At 35.1% G+C, this 16229-nt stretch overlaps 1 protein-coding gene across 5 annotated transcripts in view; it reads right to left on the bottom strand.

Moving 5' to 3' along the window:
• ARHGEF26 (Rho guanine nucleotide exchange factor 26) overlaps positions 1–16229 on the bottom strand; it is a 136823-nt gene that overhangs the window by 96430 nt on the left and 24164 nt on the right. For all 5 annotated transcript variants that reach the window (NM_001251962.2, NM_015595.4, NM_001251963.2 and 2 more), the window contains exons 5-6: positions 11951–12007; positions 8464–8624 (exon numbers count right to left, since the gene is read on the bottom strand). In NM_001251962.2, coding sequence (NP_001238891.1) covers positions 8464–8624; positions 11951–12007 — 218 coding nt within the window. The remainder of the gene's footprint in view (positions 1–8463; positions 8625–11950; positions 12008–16229) is intronic.

Genomic DNA, 16229 nt, shown 5'->3' with positions numbered 1-16229 from the left:
TCATCCTTATTAAATGAGAAAGAAACTTAAGATTTAAAGTCAACAAGTACTTGCCTAACATGTTACTAAAATGGATATTTCTTGAGGCTTTTTATATTTCTGCTGTAATACTCAACTTATTGTTTCCTGCAAAACCTAATAATGATGTTAATAATAATGTATTTGAACATAAATCCATTAACAAAGATGATAAAATGTTACTTAACCTATACTATGCCAATCACTATTTGACAGAAAAGGGACAAAGTGTACACACACACACACACACACACACACACACACACACACACACACAAACCTGGCTACCAGCATTCCAAAAGGAGAGTAGCGCAGAAGGCTGTGGGTGCCAACTGCCACTATACCTTCGTTTCCTGTACAACAGTCCCCTTCTTATGTGGTCCTGGGTCTCCTGGTCCAGTATTCACCAATGCTGCCCTGCTGCTGGGGTAAAGAGGGTCATCATCTTGCTGGGTAGAGCCAAAGAGGGGATCTAGGATCTGACTACTTCTCAAACAGATTTGCATGAAACTTGCAGTTTTAGTCACACCTTTACCCAACTTCATCATCAATTCCTGCACCTAGGAATTACCTTTAACCTAGTCCTAGACCAAATTAATTAAGTTAATCATACTTATAGGTCTTTTTCTATTAACACAGCAATTATCTATAAATTACTCCAAGTAACCATAGATTTGTGAAGGAAGAACCAATCAATCAATCAATCAATGCACCACCTTTCAGAGGTTCTGGGATTTCAATCTGGTTGATCCTTGGTTTTCCTCACTACCAGTCTAGATTTAAACTTTCCTGCATTACTGGACAACCATCTCAGGTTTTTCAGGTTCCAAAATATTGTAGCTGTTGTCTCATTCTTATTTTCTTTTTCCTTGTGTATTGACCTTCCCATCATTTTTACTGGGATTTTTAGAAGAGAATGAATACAGTGCATGTCTCTAATCAGTCATCTTTAACTGGCCTCCTGTTCAATTGTACAAAGACTTCAGATCCCACACTGCTTTCCTGAGGTCTTATCCAAAGGACTGCATCTATTAAAACATCACTAGTTTTTCTTTCTTTATTGAAATAATACCTAAACAACTACCTATTTCTTTTACTATTACTCCAGACACTGGTTGTTGATAAGAGCTGAACAACATGGACTAGAATACTCACGTAGACTTACTTTGAAGTATTGTGAAAATACTTCGGGTGAATTTCAAATAAACTTCTTTGTCATTAATCTCAGGATAGAGAAACAGTCAAAAAGTGACATAAAGAGTGGCTTCTGAATGTCACTGTCTTTCAACTGTCAGTTGAAGAAATTGATTTTAGAAAGAATAAAGTTTCTCTGTTATATTCAGGAAAATAAGGTAATGGCTTTGTTTACCAAAGACTCTGGGGTAAGTTTATCTTGAGTATATATGGAGTAAGAAAATAACATTTGCTAACAAAAATAGCAACAGCCATTACTTCAGGGCAAAAATTAAACAGGTTCTACAACTTAAAATGTTCCATATTCTCTGGCCTAGTTAAATTTAATGTGTTTTTCCTTTAAAATTTAGCTTTAAGAATTAGTCAGGAAAGTTAAAATTTTAATATTCATACTATAAAAGACTTTTGAAGGTTTACTGTTATTTGCTTATGCATTAAAGTTTAGAATTTTAATTACCAAATAGAAACGTATTTCATAATGCAGATATGCTATACTATTATTTACATAAATTGTCATTTTTTGGTAATATGAACTCATTTCATAAAATAATATTAAAGCAAGTGCATGTAAGGTAGTTTTTAATGTCATATGACATTTCAATTTTAATAGAGTTTGATTAAAATTAGGGAAAAAACTTCTGGAGAAGCAAGTGCGGGGTAAGTACTATTTTGTATGTTTACTATTATTGTAATTTACTCTGCTACACAAAGCAGAAACCAGAGAATTTGGCATTCACTGCTCATTATATGTTGGGAACAAATTCAGTTCCTCAGGACACAAAAGCACATTGATGGATATTTTTACTTTACTCTGCAGAAATTGAAGACAAGCATAGTTTTAGTTTTAAATGGCTTTCCAAAGAATACCAATGTTTTAACTTTGTAATTGGAAAAAGAGAAACAAGTACCTTGCAAAGGTCTTCAGTAGCATATTTTTATAGGGTACTAATAACAGCACACTCTGTTATTGAAAAAAATTAAATGAAAGACTGTTAACATAACCTAGGTATTTAGAATGAAAACTCAGAATTGAGAGTAAAAACCCATCTTTTTATGAAACATCAAAGCAAAGACTCATCTAATTTTCATTTTGCAGAAAACTTTTTAACACAAAAGACCTTATTTAGACCTTAGAGTTTCTAAATATGGGAGAAGGGTTAACATTCAGTCTTCTACAAAAGACAATTTTCTTTCCTAATAGTATCAGTCTTTTAATAGGGATGTATCTTAAATTTAAAAACAATTGGTGTTAGATCATATTCTGTTGCAAATCATTGTAAGTTAATCACATTTATAGGTCTTTTTATATTAACACAGGGATTATCTATAAATTATCCTAAGTAACCATAGATTTTTGTAGATTTTGTAGGGGAAGAACCAAAAAAAAATCAAAGGAAATATGAAAATATGCAAAGTATATACTATGTGTGATGTTTAGTTATGAATTAAGCCTATTCATTTCTAATTGAAAGATGATATCAAATACTCCATTTTTCATGAGATGATCAGGCTTTTAAGATAGCCGAGGTCCTTAAAAGACAAGGAGATCATGAAACCAGGAAAAGCTCATGAATTTGAGTCAGAGGGAAGAAGTTGGTACAGTTAAACAGGAAGGAAGTAGAGTTGGAAGTCAAAGCCTTTTTCCCTGACACTGACCCAAAGTCATCTAGGTACTACCTAAATTTAAAGAATTTAGCTCTAATCATTCCATGCAAAAGGAAAGTGTGTCACCCTTCTTAGGCAGGGTAAAAACAATCAGTAGGATTCTAACTCCCCAAATACTCCTTTTAAGGAGGGTTAGAAAACAAACAATTGTTAGGCCATGGCACTAAGAGACAGAGTAACAGGAAGGTGTTAATAAGAGAGGCAAACCCTTTACAGCCAAAGGACTTAAGATCCATGCACACTGTGCAATTCCTCTTATCCTATTTAACTCATTTCTGTTCCAACCCACAGGCTCCTTAAATGTTTCTTTGTCAAAATTCTGACATTCGTCTTCTTTTTACTCCATGCATCTCAAAAAGGGCTTCAGTGGCATTTGGGTGGGACAATTCAGGCTTATCTGGGACTGTCCTACTAAGTGTAGGATGCCTGGCACCCTGGCCCCCACCTACTAATGTCAATAGAGCCCCCCAAGTCTACTGGGGCAACCAAAAATGCATTTCCAAGTATCCTTAGGGGGTAAATACCACCACCACTGCTTACAAACCACTGCTACAAGTTGTAGTTATCTCATTTAAACTTAAAATGACAAGAACCACCTCTGTGACTCAAATTGACATCCCTACTGAAGATTTTTCTGTAGTTCTAACCTGCTTTTCTCTTTTTAACTAAATACCTTACTCTCATGTTCCAGGCACTCAAATGCAAAATGCCCCAAACTGAATTCCTTGTCTCCCTCCCTAAGCCCCAATCTGTTTCTCTTATATCCTGGTTAATACAATTTCCAATGATAGTCAACCAGGTAGAAACCTGGGAGGCAAACCTAGGAGGACCCCGCCTTTTCAGCAAGTCCTCAAGAGTCCATATTCTAAATATCTCTCAATATCCCTTGGAGGCCCCTGTCAGTTTCCACCCTAGCTAGCTGTGTTACTTCAATTGCCTCAAATCTTTTAACATTTTCACCTCTCTGCTAAGACAAACACCATACTGTTCTCTACAATGCCACAAAATCAGTCCCCTACTTAATTGATAAATGTTTCCACATAGGCTTTAGGAAATGGTGAAAATGCCTCAGCAGGGCACATAATGGCCTTCACGAACATCTGCTCTCATGCTCTCCTTTGATTTTCACCAAGGGCCTTTAAACCCATAACCTCCAGCCAAACCCAAGCCTTTCCATTTCAAGGAAAGTGCCCTAAAACGCCTCTGCAAATACATTGGAGGTGTTCGCCAACTACCATGGGTCCCAAGAACCAACGGCCCCTGGGGAGATGCCACCAGCTGAAATGCTTTGGAACTTAGGAGCCTTGCAGAATAGGAGGCCCTAAGTGTTAACTGAAATGAGAAATGTTTTAAAAGAAGAAAAGAATTTTGCAGAGACATACTACTGATACATACGTACACACACACACAGTCAGAATGATCGTTGTCCCTGCTTGTCTGTTTTCAAATAGTGTCAACTTACATAAATCTTAGTGTTATTTATTGGCAGTCAACAACCTAAGCCACAATACAGGGGACTAGACAACACACTGTTAATTTGGATGTCCAGGATGTTCTGACCGCAACCTATATTGAATATGTCATCACCTATAGCTATAATTTTTCATTAGGTAAAAGTAAAACAATGAAGATAGCCCTGGTTATGACATACTTAACAATACCATGCTTACTCTGTAATATCTAATTCAGACACTGATCATTTATTTTACTCAAGATTTTATTTCGCATTTTCTTGGGACTGCAAACTCTTTCATGAGTAATACATTAAGTAGTTACCAACACTTGGGTGTCACTCTTGAAGTTCAACAAGCAGGCCTTACATCATGAAATAGCCTTTGCAAATAAATCTTCTGAGTACTTTGAATTTCAAAAAGGCTGTATCTGAAATGAGTGTTTCAAACTAAATCAAAAACACTTTTGTAATGTAAGTTATTATGATATAGACAGAGTTATCATGTAAAAGCTGAACATTCCTAGTTGAAATATAACAGAGATCAAATTATTACAAAGGCAGATATCCATATTAAAGCATTGCATTTGAAGTGAAAACAAAATAAAAATGTAAAGAATACAGATATTTCTTTGTTTTTCTTTTAATGGAGGATGAAAAGTATCTGTTTTCTTTTTTAAATAAAAAATAGACAAAAATGTTCAAAATAGCCCCTTACGATAAGCTATGACAGAGATAAAATTTTTAATAAAACCTTAAATGAATTTTGTAAATGACTGAAATTAAAGTAAAATTTTAGTCTATACTTTAAATAAAATGACTTATTTCAAGGTTAACCAATTATGAATTTGTCAGCCATATCCAGTGACCTCCCCTGTTTTATTCTGGGCTCATATTTCTTACTGCTTGTTTCTCATTTCCTTGTGTTTCCTTTTCTAACTACATTATGTTTATTGCAGATGCTGAAACTACAGATAAGTACACAGACAGAAATTAAAATAACTCATAATTCTATCATTAAAGATAATTATCCTTTATGTTTTGATAAATTACCTTTCAAATAATTAAAATCTAGAACAATATGAAATCCCACTCTTTAGACCTGCTTTAAAATCTGAATATATTAAAGTCCATATTATTAAATATTCCTTTAAAGCATTTTATTGGTTAAATAATCGTACATTATATAGGTATACATAGCTTATTAAACTAAAACCATATTTCTATTACAGTCCTTTTAGAATTTTCCTTCAGTTTTCCTGGCCTCTTAGAGTGATGATCTTTACATGCCTACTAACCATGAACTACATTATACTTTTGTTATTTCTCCTAAGACTTTGTTCACTGAGGGCAGTCTATTTAAGGATACATACATACTCTATTGAAAAGGCTACAACATAATGCTTGGTATGAATTATAAGTATTCCATAAAAGATAACTAAAATAATAACTAAATAAATGAACGTACACGTCCTTCAAGCCTCAAGGAATACCCTGGATTCTAATATTTTGGTATTTGATAAATTCAGTTATGTTCATCATTTCTACTTGTATTAACTTTTTCAGATAAGATGCCTCTAACAGCTTCTAACTTTTTGAGCAGAAAAAAAAATGCTAATACGTTTTCCCTCTCCTTCTTATTAAGCAGATAATTCTCTTTCACTAGCTAAGCCAATCTTACATGTTAACATTGCTGATCTAGTCAAAGCAAATATTCTTGTGTTTCAGCGAGCATTAGAAAACCTCTCCTTCCTTGACTTTTGTTGATGTAATGTTAGTGCTTATCTCAAATTTTAAATTGTTCCAACATCATAGAGGAATATTATTAGTTTAGTAATATTTTACTGACACATACTATGTTCCAGATGGCTCTTATTCATATGGAAAAGCTTATAAGAGAAATGCTAACTAAAACTATGCTCAGATAATCCTCCTTACCTATCAGACAAAATCTAAAGGTTAGATGACAAAAATCTAAAGGTTTGTTGACATACTCTGCTAGAAAGACTCTGGGGAAGCAAGCATTCATCTATTCTTGGTGGTACTGCAAAATGGTACAATTTCTTTGAAGAAGAATTTGGCAGTATCTTACAAAATAGTATACGCATTTACCCTTTGATCTAGCAATCCTAATTCTAGAAAATCTCAAAGATAGAATGGCTAATATATAGCAGGGTGTAAGCACAAAGAAAAACTATCTGTAACAGTGAGACTGAAAATAATCCTAATGCTCATACAGATAGGCGGCTGGATGAATAAACTACTACACAGTTACTCGATGATAATTATTGTAGCTGGAGAAAGGAGTAAAACATCTCCATAAACTACTATGGAGTAACCTCTAATATATGTTGTTACATGAATAAAGAGGCTGAGAAAAATAAGTAGAATATGCTTTCATTTATCTAAGAAAGTGAGGGGAATACATATACATAAGCATATGCATATGCTTATTTTAAAAAACAAAGATAAACAACTTATTTAAGAGTATCTATATGGGAAGAGAATAGGATAGAGGGGACAAGAATAGAAACTAGACTTTCTTCTTTATGTTTTAAGCTTTATTGAGGTATAATTGATACATAAAAAAGTACCTATTTAATATATATACTTTGATAAATTTGGAGTGTCTATGGGCTTTTAATATATCTAGTTTTATAGAGAAAAATTTGGATTTTTTTTCTGGGTATCTACTGAAACAGCCTAAAACCACTTAGCAATGAGCACGCTGGTACTCACTGAGGTTTTAAATACCACCTCATTTCAAAAGACACCAGAGCTCTTTGGGGAAATGGTTGATTCCAGGCCTGGAGCAGGAATTGTAAAACATGATCCTTTAACATCTTAAAATGTCATATAGCAAGAAAATAATCAAAAATTGTTAAGATCAAAGATGGAACAATTTGAGCACTAATAAATAGAATAACGTGAACTTTACCACTGAATATATGAATAGATGGATGTACCTTTCCCTTTATAGAAATATTTCAGCTAATAAATGAATAAAGAACGATAAATTAGAGTAACACTGTTTTACAATCCTTAATGAATTAATGGATCTGGTATTGATCACCACCCATAAATTATGTGCCTCATGGGAAATTCTACAGAACAAATGACCGGATTTCTTCAACAAATAATTGCAAGGAAAAAACATAAAAATGAATAAGGAAAGTTTTAATGTGCAGACATGCTATAATCTCCAGGATAGAGGTAAAAAAAAGTAAGGAGCAGAACAGTGTTTATAGTATGGTAACATTTAAGTAAAAACAAGAAAAATATATATATACATGTATTTTCTTACATAATCATAAAGTATTACTAAAAAGATACACAAGAAACAAATGTTGACTCTGGTTGTGTTTCAGGTGGCCAGGGAACAGTATATGAATGGCATTTTACTGTAGGATCTTTCATATTTTTGGAATTTTGCAACATGTGACTCTACTACTTACACGTACAAAACTTAAATGGAATAAAATCATAAAAGCATCATCATAAGTATAACCACAACAGTGTAGTTATGTAAGAAAATAACCTTATTCTTAAGAGCTGAATACTGGAGCATTTATAAGTAAAACATCCAATGTATATACTTGGAAAAAAATTAAGCAAAAATAATAGATAAGTAAATATGGAAAATTTTAACAATTGCTAAATATAAGTTTTGAATGTATAAAAGTTTATTATATGATTTTATCTACTCTTCATGACAAAAAGTAAAGCAAAAATCCTTAAATATAATGAAAATATATATTATTAAATCGTAGCCAGATATTGCCTGCAGAAGACCTAAGCCTAAGGCTTACTCTTTCTTTACTGAAATGGATGAATATCACAGACTAGCACCAAACGAAGACACTTTCCTTGATGTAATCAGAAGTAAAGAGCAAGCAAAGTGGGGAAAGAGGAATAACATAACTTAGGACAGCCGTCTGCTGTGACAACTCATTACACACTGAGCATCTGTCTATTCACCAAACTTGAAACATATCTCAAAATGTATTTCAAGGAATCAAGACAAAAGCCAACTGAATGAGACTTGATAACCAGAAATGCCTTCCTTTAGAGATAACAAAGTGTTTATTAGTACGCAACTTCTTGGCACGACCAAAGGCAGACTGCAGTGCACTTACTTTTTGCTTGCCTCACAGACATCTGTAATATTGGAGAAAAGATGGTGCCTCTCGGTTTTAGTCATTGTATCACTCAGTTCTTTAGAATTTTTAAACATTCGTATCAAGATCTCCAAGCTGAGTAAATATGAATGTTCAGAGGATATGACTTCAAAGATAGCCTGGTAAGAAGGAAAAAGAAATGTATTATTAATTCTTTTAATTAAAGAACTAAATATAGCTCTCATAATTTTGCTGTAAGAATAACAAGATACTCCACTTTTCAGGTATAGTATCTTGGAAAGTACAAAAAGAACATTAAAGAAACAACATCACAAAACTACTCTCTTTATATAATATACATTTACCCAAATCTTAAAAAATAATCACTATCTGTAAATATGAAAAAAATGAAATCATGTGGATGACTTGACATCACATCCTGAGGTCATGCCTTTGCCAAGGGGTAGAATCTATGGAAGGAAGCGAGGGCATGTCATAAAATCTCAGTGAGACATTAATTAACCTTTGGGGTCATCTCCTCCAGCCCTGCTTTCAAAGCATGCTGCTTTAGGGACAGTAAGGATTTATGGTCATCTCTTGAGATTCAGAGAAAATTTCTCACACCTTCCTTCCCTTCCCTCTTGTGTGTCACACTCTTCCTCTCCCTATGCTTAATCTGACTAATTTTCAGTCAATAACAGCAAATATTCTGGTATGACTGTGTCTACCCTCAAAAGGTTCTTATCAACCACAGGAATTCTTTTATATAAACTCATACAATTGAAAGTAATTCCATCTATTCAACAAGTCACATTCTCTACTCTCATCAATGTCTCAAGAAGGAGCAAAGGACTCTCTGCAGAGACTCTCAGTGGCAGGCACACAGTGGTTTTCCTGATAACTGTTAATGATGAAATACCAACCCACATATGTGGATAAGATTCCAATGCCCTGCGTAAGGAATTCATCTAGATCCTTAACAAAATCAAATTCAGATCCTCTAAAAAGGGATATAGGGAAAATGCAGGCCTAAGATTCACAGCCTTCCTGGAAAGCTCCCTGGTAATTCTGTCTTCATCACCCTGATCTCCAGGGCTCCACCCCTTCAAGTCCTTGCCCCAAAGAGCAGAGGGTACTGTGGCTGGGTGGGAGCAGGAAAGGCACAAGCAGGTGGACACCCAGCTGCTGATGGGTGCTCCATATTTTATAAATCAGGTTAGAAGTGCTAATCTCAGTGCTCACCTCCACTTTTAACTTCCGTAAGGTTTAGGGACTTGGGTCTTACTTAAATGTGCTAATCTAGCCTCAGTTGTATTTCATGAAATTAAGTGATGTAACTATCTGAAGAGTAAAGAGTAAGAATGTTAAGAGTCTCATTTAACCTGCGTATTGAATTTTTTCAATCAATACAATAACCCCCAAAAACTATACACAAAGCGAATTAAAGAAAAATTTCCCTTCTGGACCATAAATAATGGATTTCAGGTGTTGATGTATACGATGCCTTGGAATTACTTAAAATATTTGCAACAGCAAAGACATTTTTCACTTCTTCAATGCTGTACTATGCTAACTGATTAATGTGATTAAGTGATAATTGAGGGTTTTGAGAACAAAAATTAATATTGCTGAATTCAACATTTTAAATAATTTCTTTTGTTCCTGAAGGGCATAAACAAATAAGCCCTTTGTTATCTCCAAAGGAAGCCATTTAGGGTTATAATGTCTCATGCATTTGGCTTTTGTCTTGATTCCTTGAAAGAAATTTTGAGGTATGTTTCAAGTTGGGTGGACAGACAGATGTTCAGTGTGTAATGAATTGTCACAGCAGACAGCTGTCCAAAGTCACTTCATTCCTTCTTTTCCCCCACTCTGCTCACTCCTTACTTCTGATTACATCAAGGAGAGAGTGTGTAATCTAATCTAAATACTCAAACTGGGCAAAAAGACTTAATGAACTATTTATAATAGATCACAGGAAAAGGTAAATAATTGGCAGTTTATTATAATAAGTTTAATAAAATAATTGCTAAAATATCCTGCAATAATACCATCAACTATTTAAAAGCAAATTAGGTTAGACCTGTTATATATAGCAGGTAGGAATTGCTATATAGGAATAGAAAGTCTGAATAAATATTTTCAGAATATGATAGAAATAGGCAAGGTTATATAAGGTTTAAAAGAACAAAAATGTTCAAATGGGATTAATATCTTGGAGGAGCTTTTAAATTTATCCACAAGGAGAGGGAAACATTTTTATGTCACAATGTTAACAATGAAGGAAAAAGTCCCACCTACTGTCCAGCATTGGAAAAATAGATAAAAAATATTTAAAGGTGGTGTTCATAGACTAGAGTACTATATGATGATTGAAATGAATGATCTAGATTCATATGCATTAACATGAATAATCTCAAAAATAATGTTGAGTGTAAAAAACAGAAAACCAAAAAATATGCATAGAATCTCATACATATACATTTTAACACACATGCACAAATATGTGTGTGTATGTTATACATAATTTTAAAACACAGGCTGGAAGTATATGTACCAGTTCATAATTATAGTTGTCTCTGGGGAGGAAAGGAATAGGACAGGACTGAGGAAGAGAATGCAGGCCTTCTACACTATCAGTTTTATGTTCTTTTTAAAAAAGGAGAAAAATTACGATTGTTATACATTTGTTAATTCTCAGTGGATGGGTACACCAAAGTTCTATACTATTATTTTTTTTAAACTTGAAAAAATGGCACTATACTGCACCCTTGTATTTCACTTTATTCTATGCCAACCAAAAAAAAAAAAAAGGACATCCTTGGGTCCTTTGTGGAATCAATTTATATGTATGTATATGCATTGACATACACACACACACACACACACACAATAATATGCAGGAAGCAAGAGGAAAATGCTTTGAGAGCTTCACAATATTATTACAATAAGCAATTTTCTCAAATTGCATTGATTTAAACTTCAAGTTGTAAAACTGCATTATTAACCTGTTTTTTTTTTTTTTACTAAATAAACTTTTTATTTTGGTATAATTTTAAATTTATAGAAAACTTGCAAAAAGGGTTCAGAGACCCTTGTATGCTACATCCAGCTTTCCCTAACCTAGGGTATCTTACATAAATAGGCTACATTTGTCTACAGACTAACGTGACTATCAGTTTTTCCATAAACATCCTTTTTCAGTTCTAAGATCTAATGTTGGTTTCATTTTTTATCATATTTCTCTCAGTTTAAATACCTGAACTAGGTGCTTTGTTGTTTAAAATCAAACGATGTTGAGTGATGTTGAGATATTTAAAATTTTTTCTTTTCTGGGGGCTTATGCGTAGCTTTACATTAAAATGATCACTTACTGCTTTTGTTAAACAAATACATTTTCAAAGGGCAACACTAAACAAGTGCACACAGTAAGTGAAAACACAAAAAAGCAGACACCGACATGCACACTCCAGAGCTCTAAAGCAGCTGCTCGGTAGAAACATACCTCTTGTCTCTTTCTTTCCTCCTGGCTTACTGTCTGAGATAATCCCTTTCTTTTCACCTAGGAGAAAAAGCAAAGTAGAGTTGACTCATTTATTAATACTTTAAAAGTTTCAAGGGCATTATTCAAGGCATAACTCTATGCCCTTCAAAAATGAATTAGGAGAAACTATACAAAATGTTGAATTCATCAATATTAATTTATTAATTAATCAACAGTTATTTAATAAATATTTATAGTGTGCCAGACAATATACTAAGCATTTTATACTCTTTTTCCCATTGAATCCTCATACAAACTCTAGAAAGCTGATACTGTTCTTTTCCCCATTTCACAGATGGGGGTAACAATTGAGGCTTAGGATCCAAGAGCACATAGCTAATAGGTAACAAGGCCAGGATCTGCATCGACGCCAGTCCAACTCCAGGGCTCATGCTTTTAGTCAATATTATTGGTTAGGGACCCCCTACTTTATATGAAAGGCATCCCATTTCTAAGGGTTGGGCTAGCATCACTAAGACCCCTTCTAATACCAAGTCTGTACCAGTTTTCATGTGTTTTTTTGGTCCACATGTATCTTGGAATGTTCTTAGCTTTACCCACCATCCTGACCCTGGGTCAGCCTGTCAGCAAGAATTCATGGCTAAAAAGGATTCTTTACACATTTTAATAAGGGAGGAGACTGGCCAGAAGAATGTAACCCTTCAGAGCTGCTCCCTTTGGTTAACCCTGAGCAGGAATTTCACAGGATTTCCTGCATGACCCAAAGTCCGGCAGATGGATATACAGGTGCCATGCCCACAATCTCTGCAGGTGAGGTCACCAGCAAGAATTTCCATGCCAGTGGCATCTCCACCCAAATGGGGTTCAGACCCAAAAAATCTTAAGGAGAAGAGAATGAAAAACCTGGGCTTAGCGACCTACACAGATGACAGCTACTTTACTGAGGAATTAAGAGTACTTTGTCCTATCAAAAGAGAGGGCAAACCCACAACTAAAGTACTTGCTTTTTTGAGGGGAAAGAGAAGGTAGTTTTGACAAAGGTAAAGTATTAATATACAGAATTATAATCTTTCACTAATACTAACATGACATATAGTAAAATATTCCTTTAACAAGCCATCAGTAAGGAACTAACAAAATTATAGTGCTAGAAAAAGAGATTCCGGGAAGCCTTCTTGTATTCTGATTGAGAAAACTGAAGTGTCACACATTTGGGGAGCCTGAAAGTTTCTTCTAAGGTATGACAAAGCGGCTCCTCATGGCTGGCTGCCAGGCCGCTGCTCCTGGGCCTGTGCTTCTGTCTCTGTCCTTCCACGGCCTGTAACAGAACAGGCTCTAGAGGTTCTTCCTCCAAGGCCCAGAGGAGTCATTTTGTCCACCTGAGGCATCCTTCCACAGTCAACTCCAAATTAAGTAGCACCTTATAGCAGGTGTCTGGAGGTAGAAGGTCATGAACAGGCAAGAAGATTTCAGAGACTGATCAAGGTGGAGAGATGAAACCCAAGAGGGGAGAGAATGATCTGAAAAGGGGACCCCAAGAAGACTGAGAGAGAGCAAAGAAGAGACAATCAGGGGAGAATGAGAATGTAGGTGAATAACATCAAGTGGAAATAAGGAAGAAAGGCAGAGAGGAAGGGAGGGAGGAAGAAAGGAAAAGGAAGAAAAGAAGGGGAAAAAGAATGTGTACAAAGTTTTTAATAGGAAAGACCTCTGAAAATTCTCAAATTCAGACACAGGGACCTTATCTGTAAACCTAAGTAAAAATCACTTGATGTTCCAGGCTTTGTAGCATGAAAAACATATGTTTATACCTATAGTCTTAAAATAGACAAGCTTTTTGAAGTTTACCAATTTTTGCTATGAGAATCCAAAGTACTGTCAAATTTATCCCATTTCTTCAAGTGTTTCTATTGTCTCCATTCGTGGGAAAGAAAATATAATATACCAGTTTCTAAAACCTATGAGTCTTACTTGATACATAAAGTGAAAGAAATTAAAATTGTACAGGCTCCTTTTTCGTATTTATTTATTTATTGAGATAGAGTCTCACTCTGTCGCTCAGACTGGAGTGCAGTGGTGCTATCTCAGCTCACTGCAGCCTCCACCTTCTGGGTTCAAGCGATTCTCCTGCCTCAGCCTCCTGAGGATGAGGAGCTGAGATTATAGGCGTGCACCACAGTGCCTGGCTAATATTTGTATTTTTAGTGGAGAGGGGGTTTCACCATGTTGGTCAGGCTGGTCTGGAACTCCTGACCTCAGGCGATCCGCTCACCTTAGCCTCCCAAAGTGCTGGGATTACAGACGTGAGCCACCATGTCCGGCCTCATTTTTAAAATATACATTTCATACCAGCTTCAGCTGGGTACAAATGGGAACATGTAGACAGCCAAAGCAACACTCCTTTAAACACACAGACAGCCAAAGCAACCTCATTTGAACTTTCTTATTCCTCACTGGTTTAAATTTCTTATTTAAATATGTCATCAACAAGTAAAATTGCAAAAGTAGTTTTTAACAAAGCAGTAAGAACTGGATTTAATGTGAGGTTCTTGATTTTGTATAATCCAGCCAATTCACAAACTGTTCAAATCTGTAGATTCTGAATTTTAAACAGAATATATGAACATATGTCTATATCTTCAGCATTTTAAGTGGATAAAAATTCAAATAAAACAAGAAAATGAACAATACTACAGTTTTGACATGTTAAAAATATAAGCATACATCTGTGCCTTATTAAGATAGTGAATGCATAGAACTTGCTAATGTTATAATAGTTTTAAATTCATAATTACAAATTTACTGTATAATTGGTGCTGAAATTCTTGACCTGTGATCTTTATAACTGATATATTTTGCATGTCGAAATGAGATAGAAATTAGTAATTGGCTAAACCTAATAAAGAACACTACAAGATATTTCTTCTATGGATATGATGCTGTCTAGTTAGACCCAAAACATAGTTTATGAAATTTGTAAAAGGGTAAACTCCCAAAGTATAGATCCAAAAGGTAATTAGACACTCCACCTAAAATCATGCCGGTTTCCTTTTTGATACCTTGTGCTATGGTCTGAAGGTTTGTGTCCTCCCAAATTCATATATTGAAATCCTAACCCCCAAGGTGATGGTATTAGGAGGTGGAGCCTTTCAAGAAGTGATTAAGCTTTGCTCCATGAATGGGATTAACGCCCTTTAAAATAGGCCCCAGAGAAACCCCTAACCCTTCTACCACGTGAAGATGTAGCAAGAAGGCACTATGTGCCAGAAAGCAGCCCCTTGCCAAACACCAAATCTGCCTTGATTTTGGACTTTCCCGCCTCCAATACTGTGAGAAATAAATTTCTGTTGTTTATAAGCTATCCAATTTATGGTATTTTGTTATGGCAGCCCAAACTAAAGTACTTTGCAGGTCTGAGCTTCTCAGATAAATACTCTAAAAAGGAACAGACAAGCTTTAGACCGTGAGTCCATTATTACACTCATCACAGTTACACTAAGCATCTCCACCTTGCAGAGAACTGTGTAAAAGAACTATAAACTTTGTGTAATATTTCTTGGTCTTTGACTCTACTAACTGGAATAGGTTATGAGCCAAGTTCTCTAAGCCCCAAATAGATCCCTCAAATTGCCATTTACACAGAACTTATCTATGGATACAGCCAGTCCTACATCTGTGGAGAGAACCAAGATTAGCACCAGTCTCTTGGCTGATCAGATAATCATTTTCTGTGAAGTAAACAGGGATATTTATGTTCTGATGCCCTCTTTGTTCTCAGACCCTCCATGACTCGATAGTGTTTCTAGATGAATGTGCATTCCTTCTATTTTTGCCCACCACTAGGGAAAACAGATGGGAAGAACCCAAAAGCCTCACAAACCAAAAAGACTCAAAAATGTAGCCAGTTAAAAATTACATTAGATTTACAATCCAAGATCACTCTGTCTCCATCAAGCACTAATTTATACTGAACACCCATCTGAGCTAAAACTCAATGGAGTTTACCCATTTGCTGAAAGTAAGCTTGCTTTTCATGTCTATTGGTGATTCTCTACTTACAGGCTTCTTTTCTCAAGAGCTCAAATGGGAAGGGATTTCAAAGTAAAATTATACCACAGGACACAATCACTCTCAGGTCCTTTCTACAGACTTAATGTAACCTGAGTCATCCCTGAATTACAAGTGAGCTAGAGTTCTTTCACTGTAAATAACATGGGAACAGCAGCAGTTTGAGAGTATGCTTGAAATCCTTAAAATGAAAAATCTGCCAGAGTCCAGA

This window comes from Homo sapiens, chromosome 3, assembly GCF_000001405.40.
Source record: "Homo sapiens chromosome 3, GRCh38.p14 Primary Assembly".
NCBI classification, from domain to species: domain Eukaryota; kingdom Metazoa; phylum Chordata; class Mammalia; order Primates; family Hominidae; genus Homo; species Homo sapiens.
This window is presented reverse-complemented; position numbering and strand designations above follow the sequence as displayed.